Source organism: Homo sapiens, chromosome 6 (assembly GCF_000001405.40).
Source record: "Homo sapiens chromosome 6, GRCh38.p14 Primary Assembly".
Taxonomy (NCBI): Eukaryota; Metazoa; Chordata; class Mammalia; order Primates; family Hominidae; genus Homo; species Homo sapiens.
The window spans coordinates 9,397,313-9,421,167 of record NC_000006.12 but is presented as its reverse complement, the minus strand read 5'-3'; the positions used below and the strand labels follow the sequence as shown (position 1 = coordinate 9,421,167).

At 37.8% G+C, this 23,855-nt stretch overlaps 1 annotated feature.

Annotated features, from left to right (window-relative positions):
• Nucleotides 15,151–16,350: an enhancer, noted in NCBI's record as "P300/CBP strongly-dependent group 1 enhancer chr6:9405051-9406250 (GRCh37/hg19 assembly coordinates)". NCBI's record gives its function as "activates an origin of replication core promoter dependent on BRD2, BRD4, P300/CBP, MED14 and CDK7 cofactors, with strong dependence on P300/CBP, by STARR-seq in HCT116 cells {active_cell/tissue: HCT116}" and the evidence as "EXISTENCE:reporter gene assay evidence [ECO:0000049][PMID:35650434]".

The window sequence follows — 23,855 nt, the reverse complement described above, 5'->3', positions numbered from 1 at the left end:
ACCACAGATTTTGGTGTTCAAATCTCAGCTTTCTCAATGACCAGTTCATTGACCAAAGTCAAGTTTTTCAATTTCCACACATACACCACCCCCCCTTTCTTTTTTTTTTAACAAAATTAAGAGAACAGAAATAACCCACCTGTCATTTAAAGTTAAAAGAAAAATCATCAAGAACCATATCTATTAAGTATTTTACAGCTAAATCATAAAAATGTAACCACAGCAACGGACATTCTGAGTTACAACACATGTTGGTCTTTATCTGTGGCCCACTGCCATTTAGGAAGACAGCTTTATTTTTAAAAGCTATGATTTTTTCTAAAAGGACATACGGGAACTCGATGCACTCTTCAACAAATAAAAAACCCAAACATCTGGTGTACCAAATGGAGAGGGAGAAGAAAATGGGCTATTTAGGGACGCCATCTTTTAACAGTGCAGGTGTATATTGACAATCATTTGGCTAGAAAAATGCTTTACCAAGCCTGGATCCAGATAGCTGCTTTGAAGGAATTGTAGATAATTGAGAATAGGTTTATAAAGGCTTTGCTCTCCATTCCTAATTATGACATAAAGTTCCTACATACTCGGCTGTTTTACATTTATAGTTCTGCATTTGTAATCTGAGACATGTTAAATCTGCTTTTCTTTACAAGCACTTGATCCATCATAAGTTGAAGGTTACATTGCGGAGGTGATGAAATCCCACATAACACAGTTCCATAAAGAGAGGAGTGAGTTCTTCCTATATAAAGGAGAATAGTCCAGAAGTTGATCAAACTGTTGAACCAAAGAACAAATGAAATAAGTTGGGGCTGAGACCCCATGACTACTTCCTTGCATGGTCTTAAGTAGACTTCATAATATAAGCAGAAAAGGAATGATATGCAGTCCGCCTCTCATTTATAAAGTCATTGAATAACATATTACCATTGTTACACAAATTTCAGATTTACCAAGGAGTTTGACAAGGTGTTACATTTAAAACTCTATTGACTTCTTAATGGGAAATATTTGTCGTAGAATTCAATAAAAAACACATTTATATCAATATTTAATAAAATAAGTGCCAAAGAATGTAAGGACATTAATAAGCATTATCCCTTAAAATAGTTCTGAGATACAATGAATTTATGAAATTCTAGGAATTTCTCAATAGTAGAAATCCTAAGGACCTTTGATATGTTAATGTGCATTACGAATCTCCAATAAAAGAGAAATCTTATGCCGTATTACCCAAAGGTGTTTTATAATACAGCCCTTGTGCAACGACATGTGGGACAAGGGCAGTGAGACTCTTTCTAGCTCCAAGATTCCATACTTTTATAAAATTGATGTAATTCATTTATTAAAAAATAAACTACTGAAGGTCCACTCTGTGTGGAGAACCATATTAGAAGCTGTAGATAGACACAAAGAAGCATAGATTTAGTATTGTACTCTATGAGTTGGCAATCTCTGGAGGAAGGAGGATGATTAGAAAGTAACTTCCTGGAAGACATGGATTTTGGCCTTTTTTTTTTTTAGTTGCTGCTGCTTCCCTAATGAGACTAGTGTCTGACACACAGTAGGAATTTAGGAAGTATTTATTGAGGGAACGGATGACGGCAAGGTTGTGAAAGGACTAGATTACCGTATTAATGTACTTGGACTTCAGCGTTCATTCTACAGGTAACAGGGAGTGATTGAAGGCTCTTGAACAGGAAATATTGAGTGCTCTCCCTTTTCTCAGAAATGATTGTCGAGGAACTGCCTTAGATATTGGCAAGGATGTGTTCAATCTGTACTGCTTTGGTGCTAATAGGATGGTTTAAATAAAGTTTGCATATCTTATAACTACATCTGTAATTATAATTAATATAAGCCAAATTCTCTACATTCATCTTTTACATAAAGGTAAGACCTCAGAAAGATGACTTTATTTTTCAAAGGTCTCGGAATTACAAAGATACCTCAACTCTCCTATAAAATGTTATCCTGTGATGTCCCTGGATATAGTCAGGGGCTTTAATGTGAAGTTGAACTGAATTCAAATCTTAACTCTTCCACTTTCTGCACAATTTTTTCAGTTAATCTTATTCACTAAAATATTTCAATAAGTTAGTTTACCAGGGAATTAAATCTACTGCTTCTATGTTATACTACAAATCCATTTCCCCTGATTGTGTCACTAATGAAGAGCTAATTTTCAGTCTGTTTTCAAGTATTTTCCCACATATATTTATTGTCTTCTTTGCTTTTCTTTCTGTATATCTTAATCATAGACTATATTTATGATATTTTACTGTTCATTTGTCTTTTTCTAGCATATTTGTATTCTAACTTCAATCATTCAATAAGTTCTTGGGCTTACTACAGAGTCATATAGATCCAAGGTTCACAAAAAGATCCAAACTGATACATATATAATGAGAAAAGAATTAACAACTACAGTCACAACCACAAAGCCAAACAAGCAAAGAGAAAAAAAATGAGAAGCAAAGCAAAGGTAAATTTAGTAAATAAACTGTAATACATCCGGCTGTAACAGAAGCACTTTAAGCTGGTCTGATCTGTTGGCATAGACTTACTCAGATAACAAATCATATTCTTAGTGAGATATCCCCAAATTGGATTTGCATCTAACAGACCAAGTAAATATGAAAAGACTGCCAAGTCTCCCCAGCAATCTCATATATTTACATTCTCTGCATTTGGCAATAACAAGGGAGAAAATAGCAGGTATTTCCATCTTTAAGAGGAAATGCAGACCATTCCAAAAGAAAAGTAGAAAGGCTATTTTGATGTACAAAATAGATAATACCTAATATTTACTGCATGCTTATTATATACCATACTTTATGTCATATTATTTGTATTCATGATTTTATTTCAGAATCACAGCAACCCAACGAGTAGATATTATTAACCTCATTTTAATATTTCCAGGGACTGGGACTTAGTAAGTAGCTTGCCTGAGCTTAGTAGGCTGGTCGAGTCATTGAACTAAGATCTGAAGCAGAACTGCCTAAGTCCAAATGACTACACTTGTATATAATTTTTTACCATTATAAACATAATTGTTTTTCTTGGATTTTGAATTTTAAAAAGTTTAGAGAAAGAAGTGTTTAAGAGGAGTGTGACAGAAACAGATACTCAGGCTTTTATCAGTATCTACATAGAATGTGGAAATGGATTCTAGCCAAGTCTGTAAAACAGGGAGTTCAGTTCCCTATACTAAAAACAGGTATTTAAAACAGGAAAATTGCAGTTACTTATTTACCATTTATCTCTGGTGCTTCTTGCTCCTTGTTTCTGCTTGCAACCATCTCTACCCAAGAAAAAACACTTTCTGTTGTTATTGTTTGCTTTGTAAGAAGCTGCAGAAGTTGTCATGCAAATGTGAATTTGTTAGGAGAACTATTCAATAACCACCTAAGCCAGAATATCTTCCGAAAATATTATCAGAAAATCACCTGGAGAGCTTAGTAAAACACAACTTGCTGGACTCCCAACCCCAGAGTTTCTGACCCAGTAGCTCCAGGGTGGTGCCTGATACTCTGCATCTCTAACAAGTTGTCACGTGATGCTAATGCCTCTGGTCCAGAGACCACAATGTAAAAACTGCCTTAAGGTTAGTACCAAGTTGTCTCAGTTGGTCAAGTTCTCTCACTGTAATATTTCTGGCAAATGGTTCCAGGCAAGGTAGCTTCAATTACATCAATTTGATACATGAGAGAAAGAACTAGTTCCCATCTATTACATTTAGGAGACCTAAAAGTTTGGAATGGACTTGAGTCCACTTTCAAGTAGACAGTGGAAGCCTTGAAAGAGAACTCATTGCATCATCGTAGTGGAGAAAGAAGTCTAGGAGAGTGAACCTGTGTTTCACAGGGGCATGGTGCATTCAGCAGCAATGTGACTACTGCCATTAGAGTTTATCCCAAACCAGGAACCCAGTGCATGTTGCAGTCTCTGCTAGAGAGGTGCTGCATTTCATCATTAAAGATCCCTTAGAATACATATGATTTACATTTTTAGACATGAGCCACATTTCTGCTAATCCTTAGTTTAGGGGGGCTTGATACAACAGAAATTTCTTCTCTCACAGTTCTGTTGTGTCTTCCAGTTTCTGGTGGCTGTCAGCATTCCTTGACCTGTGGATATATCACTCTAATCTTAGCCTCTGTGGTCATCTTGCATCCTCCTTTTCTGTCTGTCACATCTCCCTCTGTCTCACTCTTATTAGGATACCTGCCATTGAACTTAGAGCCCACCCGGATAATCCAGAATAAACTCTTCTGCTTAAAATTCTTGACTTAATCACAGCATTTACCATATAAGGTGATATTCATTCTTTTACCATGTAATGTAATTGTATTGGTCAGGTTCTCCAGAGGAAAAAAAACAATAGGATGTGTTATATATAGAAAGGGATTTATTATATGGAAAGATATTTGTTAAAAGGAATTGACCTATATAATAATGGAGCTGGTACGTCCAAAATCTGCAAGGCAGGCCAGCAGACTGGTGACATAGGAGAGCCAAAAATCTAGTTTCTGTCTGAAGGCAGCCCGCTGTAGGACCACGGAGAGCCAATGTTGCAGATAAAGCCTGAAAGCAGGCTGCTAGAGAATTCTCTCTTGCTTGGGAGAGATGAGTCTTCTGTTCTAGTCATACCTCCATCTATTTGGATTAAGTCCACACATATTACGGAGCGCACCCTGCTTTACACTAAGTCCATTGATTTAAATATAAATCTCATCCGAAAACGCCTTCCAAGTTGACACAAAATTTATCATGACAGCAATATTCACAGTTCTGGAGGACAGGACATGGACATATCTTTTAGGAAGCCACCATTCAGCCCACAACATGCCTGTTCAGAATACAGAATGGCAGAGAAAAGGACCTTTCTGTTAAGTAAGCTTCCTATGCAGACTATCACTTGCTTGACATGAGAAGATCCTCTATGTGGCAATAGCTCTTCCAGAATTCCAGCTGGTCCTTTTCCTGAGGAAACTCACATGGTTACTGTAAAGTTCTGCATCTGGTCTACAGATTACAATTGGTCCTCATCATTTCCCAACTGTACTACTTGTTTTAGATTCCTCCCACCTCTGGAGAGCACCAGTACTCATGTATAAAGTCAGGAACTCACCCGCTAGGGTTATTCAGACCCTCATCCTTGGGGGGTCACAGCCAGTGGTCACCATGCTCTTAGGCTGAGGCTGCTGAATGTGCCCATTTTCTGTCAAAATTGAGCAAGGGAGTATCAAGAGTCAAGCCAGTGGATTATGGGGGGGAAAGCCAACATACTCGTACTTGTCACTATTGTGAAACTACTTCTTGCAAACCTACTTATTTTTGATGATAAGAGTCAATCACCTCTGCTGGGATGGAGACTCTTTTCCCTCCCGGCTGATGTTCCAACCATTCTTGGTTGAAATGAATGGGTGACAATCATAGTTTAAAGTTTATGGGACTCTTGCTGTTTCCCCTAGTAAAAGCATTTCCTCTCTGGGAACCAAGGCCTTTAACCTCACAGAGTCCAAGTTTGTGGGGAAGGGAAGCACAAATTGCCTAAGTGGGTCAATGGGTAGGTGGGTAGCAAAGCCACTCCTACTTCCTTATTTGATTTTGACCCATCTGCCACCTTATATGGCAAGTGAAGGTAAGCAAAGCCACCTCTACTTCTTTACTTGATTTTCAGACTTTGTATTTTTTTTTTTGGTGGTGGGGGACGGAGTCTTGCTCTTTCACCCAGGCTGGAGTGCAGTGGCGCAATCTTGGCTCACTGCAAGCTCCGCCTCCCTGGTTCACGCCATTCTCTTGCCTGAGGCCTCCCAAGTAGCTGGGACTACAGGCACCCGCCACCATGCCCGGCTAATTTTTTGTATTTTTAGTAGAGACGGGGTTTCACCATGTTAGCCAGGATGGTCTCGATCTCCTGACCTCATGATCTGCCCGCCTCGGCCTCCTAAAGTGCTACGATTATGGGCGTGAGCCACCATGCCCGGCCCTGGACTTTGTATTTTAACAAATTAGGACACAATGTCATATCGTGGTTGTTGATTTGGGGAGCATACTGCATCTGAAGGATGCCACCTCATCCTTTCTGGGTGTCATCCCTAAGTTCTGCCTCAAGATTACTTTAAAAGCCATTCCATCACTTCGATTATGCTGGCAGCTTCCCGGGGGTTCATGTGATAGAAAAAGTAGATACCATGATTTTATGTCCACTACTACATCTGCTTTGATGAAGTGTCCCCCTTGGTCTGGTGCCATGTTACACAGGATCCACGTCTGTAAGGCCTAAGATAGTGGGGCTGGCTGAATCTCTGCAGGCAAGAAGCAAAGTCATATCTGGAATATGTGTCAGTTTCAGTCAAGATAAATTGCTGCTCCTTTCAGGGTGGAAAGGGTCAAGTTAATCAACTCACAACCAAGTTGCTAATTGATCTCCTAGAGGTGTGGTGCCATATTGGGGGTTCAGTAAGAAGTTTGGACATTCAAAAGCAGCAATAACAAGGTCAACTTTGATGAATGGGGGATAATGCTGTTGAATTTGTGCATAGCTTCCATTTCTGCAATCATGGTTACTCTGTGCATGCACCCAAAGGATCAGCACTGGGTTAGCCAGTGACAGGGGATGACTGATATCCACTGGCTGAACCATTCTGCCTACTAATGGTTTAGTGTTTTTTACATGGTGACCGTCCACTGGTGAACGTGAACGTGCAATATAAAAGTCATCACACTTTTCACCTGTACCTATACCTGTAGGTTTATCCACATCCCTCTAGCCCAGACCTCCTTATCCTAAATTGTCCAATATTGATACTTCCAGGTTCCTGACCAATCAGTCAAATCATTTGCAATGTCTAACGAGTCCATATATAAATTTACAAGAGGTTAGCTTCTCTTCCATACAAGAGAGAAATCAAGGTGCACGGTGTGAGGCGTTCTCTTTTAGAGCATTTTCTTTATCTCTATCTCCATGGCTGACACTGACTATAGCAATAATGTAGCAGTGAGCTGCGTTTTTTTTTTTTCTTAGCTTGCTCTAGCATACCAACTTAACTCATCCTTGAGCCATATTTAGACTTTTTTTCTAAATATGTTGTTAATATCCAATTGACAGTACCTTACTACCCTCATTGAAAAAAATTTTGATTTCTGTACATATGCATTTATATATAAATACAAATAAGTTCATATATATTCTCCACATGTTATGAATGTTTGTATATGCACAAACACAAATACAGCATATCTCAGGAGATTAAACTCATAAATGAATTACTTTCAATATGAAGAACATCAACAGGTAGATTCAGCAACCTCCTTATTGCAATCAATGAGTAATACAAACTTTATATCTAAATGCAGAAAAAACACTTTATATTATTTTATTGTAGTTCTCAAATTAGAAACACTTTGCAGTATAAATAAGATGGTTCATACTCAGGTATCATTATCAAAATATGTGAAGAGATTTCCTAAAATGCAGCTGAACAATGCATCATCCCTGGGTCATAATTTTACTTAAATTAATAATCAGTCATGGCTTCAGTAGTTTTTAATTGTATTTTTCTGGTGAAGAACAGAAAAACTACCTGTTCCATAATTGTAACAACTTCTAAATAGATAGTTCAATTTTAAAATGCATATTGGCATATGAAACATGACACTCTCCAATTGTAAGGAGCTACTAACACTCTTCTCCCACCATCTGAAATCACAGCTACAATTCTGTGTCATTTGTACTTGAGAAATGCTAAGGAAATTTGTGAATTCCCATTAAACTCATTCTCTTATTCTATGGGAAGGAAAATAACTTCAGCTTCAATATTATATTTTGTAATTTGATATATGCTTTAGAGGAGAACATAATTCAGATCATTTCACTGTGTAGCTATACTTTTGGAACGACTGAAATATAGAGTCAATGATCTTAAAACATGCAAATAAGTAAAGAGGGAAACGACTGGCTGGTTGCTCTTAACCCATTCACATTCTGCCCAAAGAACACTAGGGGGCAGCGGAGTGGGCTGGTGAGGAGTGCATGGTGTACTCAATGTATACCTATGGGTGGGAGGAGGTGTAGAAAGAAAAAATGGAGTATTTCAGAAAGAATGCAGAATTATTTTTCTATACTCCTCGATTTTTTAAAAACTCCCTCGTAAATTCTGAGGGCCACCATGAACCATGAATTCCAGCAGAGGAAATTTTAGCAACACAAGCTGAGGAAAGATCAATTGCAAGCAAGGCAAAAGTGTACATTGATCAAGTGTCAAGTGAGATAATACAGTTTAAGAACGACAAACTTACCTCTACCATTTCACACTTCAAATTATCTTTATAAATCCCTAAATTAAAGGAGAAAAACTACATGCATTTACAAGTTACTTCACATGCAACATCCATGGGTGCCAATTACTCTCTTGTTGTCTCTTTCTAATATTATTTTAAAAGGAAATTCTGGCAGATTCTTAATTCTTTCAGTACGCAGTGGTACTGACATTTGGATGATTGACATTGTAAGGAAATCCGTTTGTAGTCATAGACTTGTGATAAACGTCTTAAGATCATTGCACAATGCAGTTACTTTGCTGGACAAACCTTTCAAAACACAGGATCCAAGAAAGAAAATATATTAATAAATAGGATCGCTGAAGTAAAGGAACACGTTTCTAACATTGAGTCACAAGGCCTTTACTAATAATAGAGGAACAATTAGGGGCAATAATCGGGTCAGCTGTTTCTCACTTTTTCTTCTTCTATTGCTTCCCATTCATTCATTCAATACATATTTCTTTGTTGTGCTAGTCAGAGGTATGTGTGGATAAATATAACAGACATGGTTCCTGTGATTTTGGGGATTGTGGTCATTTAGAAATTATAGTTTCTGAGGCTAAAATTTTCATTCATGAGAGGAGATATAATTTAGAGATTAACACCTTTCCTATTACAAAAATCACAGTACATAATCATTCCTCTCCTCATTGGTAACAACTGTACATGAATGCTTCAAACGTTTCTATTTTTTTTAAAAAAAGAGGAGGTGTTAGGAAGAATGAATGTAAGAGAAAGTGGTAACTTATTGTTTCTCCAGAAAGTAAGGAAATGCTAAAAAATCATGTTAATGAGCATATTAAAAGGACAGTGTTGCCAACTTGAAAGAGCCCTGTCTTAGTCCATTGTGTCACTATAACATAACACCACAGCCTGGGTCATTTATAAAGAAATTGATTTCTCATAGTTCTGGAACTGAGAAGTCCAAGGTCCAGACACCAGCAGGTTTCCTTGTGTGATGAGACCAGTTGGTCTGTTTCCAAGATGGCATCCTCCAGAGAAGAGGAAAGCTGTGTTCTCACGTGGCAGAAGGGCTGGAAAGGTAAAAGGGACCAAACGTCCTCATCAAGCCGTTTTACAATAGTGTTAATCAATTCATAAGGGTGGGGCCCTTCTGGCCTAAACCAGGGGTCCCTAACCCATGGAGTGCAAACTAGTACCAGTGTGTGGCTTGTTAGGAACCGGGCCACACAGCAGGAGGTGAGTGGTGAGCAAGTGAGCATTACTGCCTGAGCTCTGCCTCCTGTAAGATTGGGGCAGCATTAGATTCTCATAGGAGCATGAACTCTATGTGCTCCTTATGAGAATCTAAGGCATGATGATCTGAGGTGGGATACTTTCATCTAGAAACAATCCCCCCTCTCCCCTCCCCCCTCTCTTCTTGGCCATCTGTGGAAAAATTGTCTTCCACAAAACCAGTCAGACTGGTCCCTGGTGCCAAAAAGTTTTGGGACCACTGGCCTAAACATTTCCCCAAAGGCCCCACCTTTCAACATTGTTGCATCAGGGGTTAAGTTTCAACACATGAATTTTGGGGGACACATTCAGAGGATGGCAAGCCTCAGCTGTCCCAGTCAAATCTGAGATAATTTGAACATCAAAATAATTATCAGAGAAGCGGATTATAACTCATTATATAAGAATTTATATGAATATAAATCAATAAATACATCAATAGAGAAAAGGAGAACATCTCTTTCCTCAAGTAGAACACTGACATAAATATGCAAACATGAGGTTAGAAAATCATCAATAAAAAGTAAAACTCATGGTGCAAATTTGTTAAGGAACAAGATGTTTACATAGGCTCACAGTATCTCTCAGTAACTTACTTATTAATAACAGGGAATATTAACTTTACAATATAAAGACCTAAGTTGATCCCACATTAATTCAGTCTCCAAATATTACATCACTAATATTTGGATTAACTGACAGCATGCACTTTCTAATAAAATGAGATAAAAAGAAAACATGTTTGATGTATTTCTACTAAAAATGCATAATCTGAATTCAATTATGACAAAACATCAGACAAACCTAATCTGAGTAGCATTCTACAAAATAAAAAAAACAAAGACAGAGGAAGTATTTCAGATTAAAGTTGATTAAAGAGATATTGCTAAACTAAATGCATAATCGTGGCCTTGATCTTGAACTAGTAAAAAAAATGTAGCTATAAAGGACATTATTGAGATGATTGATAAAACCTAAATATGAATGGTACATTAGATAATGGTATTTTATTATTGTTAAATTTCCTGATAATGATAACTGTACTGTGGTTATGTGAGAAAATATTCTTTGTTCTTAGCATATGCAGACTGAAGTATTTAGGGGTAAAGGGACATGATATCTTTAACTTGCTTTCAAATAGTTGAGAAATATGTTTTATCTATCTATCTACCTATCTATGTTTTTATCCAGGGAGACAGTATGAGAGAGAACAGTAAAGCAAGTGGTAAGGCAAAGTGTAAATAAATCGTGAATGGTAATAGTGAATGGTGAAGAGTACATGAGAGTTCCTTTTCTTATTCTTGCAAGTTTTCTGCAAGTTTGAAATTATATCAAAACAGAAAGCTTTATAAAAAAGGAAATAGGTATGAGAATTCTTTGAATAATAAATACATACTTGTAATTTGAAAGTTAGATACAACAGAGAATTTTCTAGGAAGATAGGTAAATAAATATAAATGATCATGGAAATGCAGAGCAACAAAATAGATGGGCCCAGGTGGGTTTTTAAATACTCTTTGTATGTATCAGAATTTCAAGAAATAGATAATCCATAACTTATGCACACTGTTCCAGAGGGCAGAAAAAGAAGAGCTTAGAAACCCCTAAGGTACAAGCCTAGAATAGCCTCAATATTAAACTGAGCCAAGGACCACATAAGAAATGGAGACATTTATTAATTTATTGTATAACCGTAGGTAAAAGAAACACCAACAAAGATAAAATAATTATCAAGTGAATCTGGAGTATGAGAAATGTTCTAGCTCTTGATCTCAGTCTCGGTGGTTCATGGATATATGCGTACATAAAAATGAATTGAGCAGTACACAAGATGTGTGCAATTTACATGCCTACCTGTAAGCAATGTTGCAACTCAATAAAAATGTTTTTAACTGTTCATGTGGCTGGGGGGAATGGTATAATACCCTTGCTTGTGCAATCACTTAATTAAAAAAAACTCTTTCATGATGTTTTAATATGTATTATCTTGTTTTAGATGTTCCATAGGATTCCAAAAGCTTTTATCCTATCCCCTAGCTTATTCCTGTAAAAATCCATTTAATCTTTGCTCACAAGCACTAAATAATCTAAATATACAATCCTAATTGCAGATGTTGAAAGATTGTGAGTAAAAAAATCAACACCATGAAAGATGTTTTTTTTTAACTTACTCAAATGGCATTTTTGGTTTCCCCAAACTTTATTTTCTCTTAGCATTCTCAGTCTTTTATAACTGGCTGTATGGCGTGGCAGTCTTCCAATACACTCAAAAAGCTTGGAGGAGCCATCCAATGTATATTAATCCTCTGTGAAAACAAATAACTTGAGTGCTCGCTCTCTTGCAGCCTCAGCCATTAATGTTGGTGGATGGTTTTGATGGTATAATCTGTGTGTTGCCAACACAAAAGTCTGTTACCTTCTCCTCAGTGCCAATCTTATCTTTATTCCTGTAAATTGATGAAGGAATTTACTCCACTTATTGATGGAGGAATATTACAAAACAACAAATAGTATCTCTGCTTGATTCATACACCAAGACTCTGGGAAAGATCTGGTAACACCAAAGAAAATCTTCATGGTTGGAATGAAGCAAATAAAATGTAGCCAAACAAAGAAAAAAACCAAGAGCCCATTGCTTTCCAGCATTACATCTACTATGATGTATTCTCTGAAAGCCGCCCAAGTATAACTATTTATTTTAACTAAAGTAATCAAGATGAATGTCAGCAGTTATGACACACACTGTTTGCTAAAGAACACATAGAACAATTGCTCAGGGCAAGCTTCATTAAGAAATCAGATAAAATTAGTAAAACTGATTATATTTCAAAACTCAGCAGCAGCTAAAATTGCCATTCAGGAGCTTCCAATTAACACAATTGGTCTTGTTCACAATCAGCTATTGTAATCTCATTAGCTTATTATATTTTAATCATTGTGACATCAGCACAGCAAAACTTATTTTATTTTGCATGGCTAAAGATTGGCTAAATTGGGTGTGTGGCCTACCCAGTCCTAGATGCAAACAGGCCTTTGCAACTTGGCATCTAGCCCATTCTTTGGGGAAATTATCCTGATCAAGAGGCAAATGCACATAGATTTCCCCCTACTCTAGTAGTGAGAAGGCATTTTGGAAACAGTCATCTGATTTAGCATCTAATGATCGGGCTATCAATTATTGAGTCAGCTGACACTGACACTGACTGAAATCATTTTGTAGTAGCATTTGGAGAATTGACAGTTTATGCAGGAAAGAGACAGAGAGAGATTGAAGAGCAAAGAAAAAGGGTGGAAGGGTGGTAGAATTCTCTGCGTACCTGTGTTTAACTACTGTACCTCTTTGTTTGACTACCTTGTTTTATTAACTATGTTCTGAAGATACTGGTCATTGCAGAAATAGAATCTTTTTGTCTTTTAGGTAAGAATAGTCGCATGTACCTAGAAAACTGGTGTTTCGTTGATATCAAGTATTGCCTGCTGCAATGAGATTATGTTCTATTGATGGGAACTGGGGTGTAACAGCCATCTACAGAAAGCAATAGGTTGCCCTATTTTCCGGCTGAAAATGCTGCGTGTTTTATGAACTGCCTCTATCTTGCACACCAGGGATGTTTCTGTAGCTAAAGCCATAATAGGATTTTCCTAAATGATACGAAAATACAAATATTCTGACCAACCAGCTTGCAGAGGTTGCTTATTCTCCAGCAAGTTTTAATACTGCATTTTTTTTGCCTCCATCTTTCAAGAACATTTTTGATTTCACTTTTCTGTTATGAGTGCTTTCTATAAAGGCATCACTGATCACTAATTGTATTCTGCGAAAAGGAAAACAACAGAGGCAGTGCGCCAATATACGTGCAAATCCTTGTTCTTGGCAGGACCCTGTATAACTGGAAAGATATGAAGAGGTAAATATTCCTAGATGTGCACACTGGGAAATTCAGAAAGCCTTCCGTGGTCTCAAAACCCTGCTATGCTTTTTTGAGTAGTTGAGACTAATTCAATCTTTAAAAAGCAGCCACTCAGCTCCTGATATTTTAATGTCCATAAATAAATAAATGAGAAAAAGTGCCCTTATAAATCCCAGGAGAGAAAGTTAAATGAAAATGGAAGATGGAGTCCTTCTGTGACTATCATATTACCATACCTAAGCACTAAAAAGGTGAACGTTCATCATTATTAAAATCATTCAATTTGTGTCTTTAATTATAACTTTTGGGGGCATGAATGGCTCCAGAGAAATTAGTCTTCTATTTGCTCCATGAAAGAATTTAATAAGTAATACATTGTGTTAACTGATTTTTAAAAATCCATTTAATTTTTCCCTGAATTCTATTTTAGGATGATGAGTTCTGATATCATAGAAATTTTTGTCCAGTATCTCTTGCTTAGACAGTCACACATTTTTGTTTCTTAAAACACAAGGTCCTGGACTTTGGATATTTACGATTTAACTTATAAATTGCTTGTCAGTTTTTCATAATTTGAGCCATAGCCTACTTAGCCATGTATTAACCAGCCGCAGTCTCAGATTCCCTTTATGAAAATCCACTCAAATTGTGTGAATGATGGTCCCAGGTTGCCTTCAAGCCATTGTCTTCATTTCCAATGGTGACACTTGCATATTTAGAGCTGCTCAGGTTGTACAATCAATAAATCTCATCTCCCCTGTCGATGACTGATTTGCAGATTGATCCCCATGTGATATGGGATCAGCATGGGCTTCATGACAAAAAGAACTTCTCATAATCCTTCATGTCTATTCTGATGACAATAGATAATTACGTTGAATTCTCACGTGCAACAACACTTACAAACCACTTTTCAGAATGTGGTTTTGTAAGTAAATCCTGAAATTCCTTAACGAAATGCAAATGGGGAGCAGGATTTGAAGATTCAGCATCATTTTACAATTTCGAATAAAGAAGTATTTTTGTAGGGAGATGATAAGTGTACATATCAGTATATGTGTACATATATACACATTTATATCTACATTTAGAGAAAGTTAAATATGCAATATATAACTTTCTATATTTACACACATATGCACACACACATATATACATGTTATTTAGTGATCATTTGCTACATATAAAAACATTGACTTTGAATACTTAGAATAAAAAATATTATTATTATCATTACCTACCATTAATTCAGTGCTTTTGGTGGGTAAAATCTATTCAGTTCAACACCTACGTTTTATTTCTAAGCATTATGTTTGGTGCATGGCATTGCAGACTTTATAAAAGTACCACAGGCAGATAATTTAAAAATCATATTATAATATTTTCAGTTGTTTTGTTACTCTTCATTGATGTTGCTGCAGATAACTTTCTTTAAATCATGTCTTACATGGGTAATCCTATCTAAAACTGATGAAAGCAAAGTTTCCACATTTGAAGAGAGGTCAGACTCAGAATTCCATTTACTTCTCTCTGTCATTGTCACATGCTATGGAGCCTGAACGAAATGAACAACTCAGCACAGTTTGAAAATCACCGTAATACCATCAACTTAATGATGACGCTATCATGATGACGTTTAAAGACGCTGAAAGAGAACAGGAAAATAAGATATTTAGTCTAAACAAAGGTTTCCATGGACACTGCCCAGTGGAGATGATTATCTCATTGGAGTGGGAGTGGGAGTTAACCTGAAGCGTAAATGGAGGTTTTTATCGAAGGCCAACAGAACAATAGGAGGAAAGGTATGGAAGGATGAAACACATGGGGGCAGGAAATGATCAGAGCATTAAACAGGTGATGGAAGGTAGCAAAACATGAAAGAAGAGGGGGTTAATTTGGGATCAAGGATGGTATTGAACACAATACTAAATAATTAAACTGTAGCCTGTAGGAATGGGTGCTATGATGAATATTTTTAGGCAGCGATACGGCTGCAACGCGGAGAATTAATTTAATGGGGTTAAGAGAAGACAGGTGAGCTGGATGCTTCCGTGCATATCAGAAGCTCTGAGGTCTGCATCCCTCCCTTAAAATCCCTAAGGTATGAGTCATTAAGCCACTCCTGCTGGGTTTAGTGACTAAGAAAGAGTCAGTAAACCTCTCCAAGTGCGGACATCCAGAAATAGCTCATTTGTTTATTCATTCAATTAAAATCCAATTATTCTTTTGTTCATTAAAGGAACATTTACCTAGTAGCCATGATGCACCATTTTGGTAGTCTCTGGGTCATGGACCATTGCAAGGTTTAATCTGAACAGCAGGGTACCTTTTTATCATACGGATTAATATTACCGGATACTTTTTAATAATTTCTGGCCACTGCGTGCAGAAGGTTGTAAGTGGGGTAGGCAGCCCTGGAAGTTTCTTTAGGTTGAATCCTGTTGCACCTCCAGGAACCACGTGAAAGGACTCTAGCATTCGCTCACTCCCCAGTTTTCTTTGAATGGACAGTGCTGACCACTTCTGGCACCTCCTCCCCTCTCTTATTCTCCCAGCGTTTGACATTAGTGCTCATTTTACTGTTTTCATCTTTTATGCCGAGGTTTCTCAACCACTACTAGCATTTGAGGCTGAATAATTGTTGGGCTGGGGCTGTTCTGTGCGTTGCAGGATGCTTGGCAGCATCCCTAGCTTCTACTCATTAGATGCCAGGAATCCACTCCTCCCCATCAGTCCCCCAGTCGCGGCAATCAAAAACAATCCCAGACATTGCCAAATGTTCCCTGGAGGAGAGAAAGGAACCACCTCTGATTAAGGACAGTGATATTTCCTATAAAACACGATTCAAGGTTTTCCTCCACTTACATGACCTAAGGTCATTGTAGGTAAACACCTATTCTCATTCATTGTAACTTTTATCTATCTACCTCCCAGGAGGAGCACACGCTAGCCACAAGTAGGATTTGTGCATAATCCCTTTACAACACATACACTGCCATGGCTATGAAAGTCCTTTTAAAAAATCATTTCATTGGAAACCAGAGAAGAGTGAGCTAGTCTCTTGAATCAAATCACATAATGTGGCTATATTCTTGTAACTAGTATGTGGCTGACCTTGAACCGCCCCATAAGTGAATCAAGATGCTGTAGTTTGCCATGTGTCAACGAGTTGTTATCATCAGTAAACAGGACGACAGCATGTCTGAGACTCTACAGATTATGGAAGAGCTCTTTTTTTTTTTTTTTTTTTTTGTCCTTTGTTAACAAACCCAAAGTTAGGCAAATGCTAAGCTCTCAAAGTATAGAGCATTTTAATAATTTGCTTTGGCAGTTGGGGCCATCATTCCATTTCAAAAATCTACCTCTGCTCGGCTTGGCAGGGTTATTTGGACTCCGGGATGTGTGCTAATATCTGCAGGAGGAAGCAGAGATACTAATAAGGACTCGCCTTGATTCCCCTTCCTTTCATCTCCCACAACTAAAACTATGTATTTTTTTCCTCGGGAAAACAAAATTAATTTTGAGTTTTTCAAAAATCTTGGCATGTACAATAATACAACAGAACCCCAATTTTGGCACTGCTGTGATTGCATTCCCTAGTTAAGCACCCTAGATATCAATACTTAATGGTATTCTCTAAGCTCAGCCAGTGAAGAAAATAGGGTTGTTATCTATCAAAGCACATTTTAGTTTCTGACAAGTAAAAAGCAGCATGGGGAATGCAGGAAGGCTGAAATGAAAGCCTAAAAGAAAACTCATATAACATCTGGTGTCCTTTATCCCCTGATGGCCTTTCATAGGATGATATGATGAGCTCGTTCTGATTTAAGACCTGATGATTTGGTTTGAGAAAACAGGAGGAGGGGGCTAGATGCAGCCAGGCTGGCAGCAAATTGGGATACAAAAATCTGCTCAAATAATTGGAAACACGACAGATTTTTTTTTTTGTAACTGATGCCAGTGGCATCTTAGTTTATCCATCTCTCTCAGTTGAATTTGTAAAGTGCATTATCTTATTGGTTTTAAAGTTTCCATCTCACTTATTTGCAGACGGAAATGTGAGCAAATCAGTCATGATGGATTGCCTAATTTTCTGGGCTGAATAAACCAGTTTTATGAGATTGTTGATTCCTAGATTATTAGTTAACAGAAACATTGATCAAGTTTTAACCTAAAAAAAAAAAAAAAAGCTTATCAGACTATTGCATTTAAACTGTTTCCTTATCGTTACATTTCCTTATTTTTACAATACTTATAGTATTGATAATGAATACGCTCATTAAAAAATTTAGAGAGCGTCTCATAGAGGGTTTTTCCTTTGCTTTTTGTATTTTCAATCCAAATGCTAAAACTGGGCTGAGCCACAGATGTCAGAAGATTAGTAATTACTCTGCCAGAAATCATCTCTGATCAAAAAGCCAGAGGAGGCCAGGCGCAGTGGCTCACGCCTGTAATCCCAGCACTTTGGGAGGCCGAGGTGGGCAGATCACCTGAGGTCAGGAGTTTGAGACCAGCCTGACCAACATGGCGAAACCCCATCTCTACTAAAAATACAAAAATTAGCCAGGTGTGGTGTCACGTGCCTCTAATCCCAGCTACTCAGTAGGCTGAGGCAGGAGAATCGCTTGAACCCAGGGGGCGGAGGTTGCAGTGAGCCGAGATCGTGCCATCGCACTCCAGCCTGGGCAACAAGAGCGAAACTCTATCTCAAAAAAAAAAAAAAAAAAAAAGGAAGGAAGAAAGAAAAAAAAAAAGCCAGAGGGAGGGGCGGAGAAAAACCATTCCCTACCTAGAAAATATAGGTCCAATTTAATCCGTTGCAGATTTCTTACTGCTTCACTTACAAAAGCTGGGAAATAAGGAAAACCAAATACTATAGAGCCATATTTTTTAAATTAAATGAATCATTTAAGGTTCATTGGCTGTGGAAGTATATGTGGTAATTAACAAGGAGAAGAATTTTTATTTGTTAATCAGAACCTTTTGACAAGGGGTTGCCTGCATGGATGCTCCAAATTTTAATGTTCCAATAAAAGCAATAAGGATCCAATAAAAATCCACCCCTTTATCATGTTTTTCTTCAAATTTGAAGTACAATCACAAAAATAAAATCATTTTGTGCTTTGTTATTTTAAAACTAAGAGTTGTAATAACCATGCCATGGGGGCTTGGGAGTGATTAACATAAATTCAGGCATCATCTTGTGAGTTTTTTTCTTTCTTTCTTTTATTTTCTGTCCGACCTTTTTTATGGTTGCGTCTTAGTGAATATAAACTTTTCCTAGTTAGAATTGCAAGTGAAAGAAGTAGTTTCTTTGCAAAAGGAAAGAAGGGAGTTAAAAACTTTTATGCAAGTAGACTTTACTGTGAAATGTTATCTTTTGTTAGTTCAAAGGTTCCCAAAGATATAAATTCTTCAGAACTGCCCTGAGGTGCTAGGGATGTAAATTGAATACTTTACAATTTGTAGACTGTTCCTGCAGTAATGTGTATCTCCTCTGTGAGTGAGTGTTTGGGGATTTTTCAATTACTGGAGTCTGAAAACTCAGAGATTCTTTAGGGCAGAAAAAAGGCTCTTCTCAAAGTTGAGTCACTGATGTTCAAATTAGCTGCCAAAAGCACTATAATGATCTGTGTTCCAGATTTTGCTAAACAGGGAAAAATGGCCCATTTTTGTCAGGGGGAAAATAACCTCCTCTAAACGCATCCATGAATAACTGCAGGATGGGTTATGCGATAGTTTGAAAGTGAAATGTATTGTTGATATGTGCTGTATATAATAGACTGATGTTGTTTCTAAAAGACTCAAATGAGCTTCTTCATATTTTTTTTAGGATGGTAGCTTAAGTATGGCCTTTAGGCTTACTGTTAACAGATTTTTACAAAATAATAAATGAATACAATGATAAAATGATATATGTGCATTTAAAATTAGGCATATTTCAGAATTCCATATAATGCAGCAAGCTCAAAATAAAGGAGTGACTAACTGAAAATTATAATTTTTAAATTTTCATCTCATTCTGCCAACTTTTTCTTAAAATGTGTGTCTTGCTCCCATCCCCAAATTAATGCAATTTACTGGATTATATTTCCAATTTCTTCTTATGGAAGAGCTGCTAAGCACTAGTGAAATAATACTAAAGAGTTAGCTTGGAGGAAAAGTCACCAAAAAATGAACAAAAGAAATAGCTTAACACTGGTACCTTCCAGCCCACTGGATCATAATGAATTGTAAGCAAAGGCAGTCTGAATTAGAGAAACATCTATTATGAGATTTTTAACCAGACAAAAATCTGTTACCAAGTAGTCATCTTCTTTTTTTTCTAAATGGGTTATCTATTTCAATTAATATATCTAAAAGGATTTATTGTTGTGCAATTTTAAATTCAAATACATGGTTCCATATTGTTTAAGCAGCTTGTTCTCTTAACTAGGTCAGCTATTCTTATGTTGTCATTTCATGCAAACTGTTTTTGAAAGAAAAAAACAACCACAAATAAAGCATTCTTTAAGTGATAGATCTATACCTTTGTTCCTGTCAGATTCTCAGTAAAACAATCATACTGAGAAGATTGAGTTTTATTCTACCAGAAAGGAAGAGATAATTTTTTTAAGGTTTCATGAACACACAACCTCATAGAACGTTTGATTTAATGGTTATTTTCTGACTCTGCTTTTTAAGGAGTAAGAGATAAAAGGTAAGAAATAAAAAGACAAAGCTAAAATGCAATTAGGTTCAACTCTGAGAACTTATTAAGTCAGAGAGGTGAATTAAAACTTTTCCATTTCTAGTTACTAAACATTTACTGAGAAACTACTATGCTTGAGGCAATAAACTACATGGGAGAGATATAAACCTAAAAATTGATCTTTGGCTGTTTAACCCCAAGGATTTTACTATGAATAAAATATGCTATACAGAACTAAGAAACAAATAAAGCAATTGATGCTGAAAAAACAAACAAAAAATAATGTAGTCTTGGGAACTCGGCAAGGCTTCTCAAGGAGGAAGGGATGCGCAGGTTGCCCATTGATGAAGAATAAGAAGGCAAAAAAGAACGCAAGGGTAGAGTCCTCAGGATAGAAAGACTGGCATAAACAAAGGCATGGAGGTGTGAAATTGCACAATGTTTGTAGGGAACTACTACATTTCAGTTACCCAGAGGACAGACTACAAGTTGAAGAGTTGAAAGAAGCAAGGTTGCAGGAACAGGCAAGGCCGGGCATGGAGAAGATGTTTTATGCCATGCTAAACTCTCAAATTTTCATTGCTTGCATATTTACGGCCTCAGTAAGTTTCTGATATACATCTTAGTCAGAAGAGTAAGGTTCTTGCAGTAGCCCAGGGTCATGATTTGATGAGATATTACCGTTTTATAGTAAATTAGTAGATGAGATTGATTTTGTTTTAATTTGGTTGGATTGGCATTTTTTAACAATCACTATAGCTTTCTAAGTGCATTCAAAGTTTTGAAAGCCAGTTGAACAAAAGTCGGCTTGCCAAAAGGCTATTTACTGAATATGTGATAAACCAAATGACCAGTTCGCCAACAGCCAATTCATCAGTTTACTGAGTGAGTCATTTTATTGAACTTTCCACATATGTTCAAGGATATGAAGAAGAAAACACGCATGGACCTGAGCGTTCCATAAACACAGTACTCTTTGAAATGAATATTCCAAGAAAAAGTAGTGCTGAAAGTAAACACTTGAGAAATTGAAGGAAAAAAAATGCCTCCACATGTCAAATTGTCTTGGGGCCAAAAAACATTATTAAACCATACATGCATTTCTCATATTGACCAATAGTCATGTAAATTTTGTAGACTGTTCTGTGGACAGAATTTGGCCTAATATTTTATTATAATTTGACAACTCTGGCTTTCCATTTAATGATGAAAAGTTCAAAGAACAAAATAAAAGAGATAGGTAGTTTCTACCACACACAAAAGAAATATTTTAAAAATTTTAACTTTTTTGAATACAAAATGATCATGGTGGACTTTTAATTGATGAAAAATTATTAAAATCAATTTTCACTTTGCTAACTGATCCGTTACATCTATACATCAACACAATTCACTTTAGAAAATTATTCATAAGGAATATATGTATCATTTGTAATACGACTATATATGCACAATAAAATCACAGTGGTGAACCAGTAATTCATTTACTGCGTTCGTAAAACACCTTCTTAGCATATTTCTTATGTCAAGGGCACCCTATGTTGTTCCGAAGTTATTTTAGAATTTTTAAAACCACAAAACATTTCCCATCCTCTGAGATTTGGTCTGCAGTGGGTAGACCATCCCCGGCCTGTCAACACATCGCGCCAGGCCAAGCCAGAGTCTGGGTAGGCCGGTGGCAGATGCGCGGGGCTGCCCGCTTTCCTGGAAATGCCGGCGTCTTTCTCCGCTGTTGGTCGCCTGACTACAAAGATGACACAAGCAGCGGTGGCACTCGTGCTTCCTGGCAAGGCTCCCATTTCTTGGCTTCAGTCTCTGCTCACACGCAGCCGGCCCCGGTCACTCCGCACAGTTTTTCAATGTAACCAACAGGCCGCGGCTCACCTTGAGCTCATTAGCGCACGCAGGCGACTTTCCAGCCGCGCGGCAAATGGAGCCCCAGCGTCCTCGGAGGGAAGGAGGAGGAGAGGCGGAGAAGGATGGGAGCCGGCAGAGGAACCGCAAGGCCCGGGTGCTCAAGGCCTTGTAGTGCGGGTGGGGGTTCTCTCCGCCCCGCCCGCTGCCACGGCCCTGCTCTCCGCCAGTTCTCAGCCTCCCCACCCATCCCAGGGCGCGCCCCCACCCTGCGCTCGCTGGGCACCCTGCCTCCCAGTGAAGTCAGCAGTAGGCAATGACAGGGAAAGAGCTTATCTATCTGTGAGGAAAGAAGCCACGTTGATGGTTCCCTAGTGGATGTAATTGTGCTCATTACTGCCCATTTACATTTCATCACTCGATTATCACAAATGCCTCATTACTGTTGAAAAGGGTTTGCTGGTGAACTCCTTGCTGACTATTCATCCCTCAGCTCGGATGTCACCAGGCAGGCTGATTGGAAAAGGAGGAGGGCGAGGAGGAGCCGAAGAGGGGCGAAGGTGAAAAAGGTCTTCTATCCGATTTGATTAAAGGCCGTGATTTAAATCGATATTTAATAAAGTGGCTGCTACCACATAACACGGGCAATTCCCCATGCAGTCAGCATGGTGATTAGAGGCCCCTCACTGCCTGCTACATAACTCAATTGGGTTTTGTGCACTGGTCTGGCACCTGTGTCCCTCAGAACTGCGCCTCCAATGTAATAGGTTTATGAGCCGATGAACAGAGGTGATAGGTTCTAAATGGATTAACTAGGTGTCTGCAGTCTGGTGATGAATACATCAGGCAAAAAAAAAAAAGTCTGCATAAGCAGGAGAGTGATAGGAAGTGTTGACAGACACTGTGTGTGTCACGAGCCCCACAGGGTAAACACTGGCTCGGTGCCTGTCATTCAAGTGCTTTCTCAGAGTAATGGGTGAAGATATCAGGCCCGGCTGCTTAACAAGCCTGCAGGTGCCAGGGCACCAAGGCCTGCTGCTGAAAAAGGCTTCCACAGGGCACGCCTCACCCACCAGCTACAGCCAGCTTAAGAATATGCCTCTGAGATGATATTCTTTTCTGTCTCAAAATAGATTGGAATTCCTGGGCTAACTGATTTGTGCTACCTGCCTGGAGCATGGTGTTAAGAAAGAGTCTGAGGTTATATCCAGATTCAGTGGGAAAACATTAAATAGCACTAAAGTGCTGTGGACACAGCAGAGAGGAGTGAGTGGGGTATGATTTCTGCATAGTTGTCATCCCTTCACCCTCATTAGATGCCTGTAATAGCAAGATTCGTGTATCCCATGGTTTCAATATAATAATGCAAATACTCATATACATGCATAGTTGAAAGGGACTCAAATTCAAATCCAATTTAATAATCCTTCTCAGGTGTTCATAAACAAGAGTATGGTATAGTTGAGTTTTATCAGAAATTTCCGGTACTCCTAAACTTTTTGAAATAAGACCAAAATAACGCATTTTTAAGATGGGATATGGCTGGTATAAATTACATTGCAACCTTCCTACCCCAGAATTAGCAAGCTATAAATTAGGGAAACAGTGCCATTCTTGAAAAAAAAAGGGGGTGGGGAATCTGACCTAAAGTTATCATGTAAAAAGCAATTATTTATGTTGAGAGTTTAATAATTAATGATTCAGTAAATGCAGTCGAAACATACATTGACATACACAGCAGTGAATGGTCGTGACTTTTGTAGAGTTTTAGGGAGAAAATCCTGAAAAAAGAATCAACTTTCTCTCATTTGGTGAAACTACGAAAT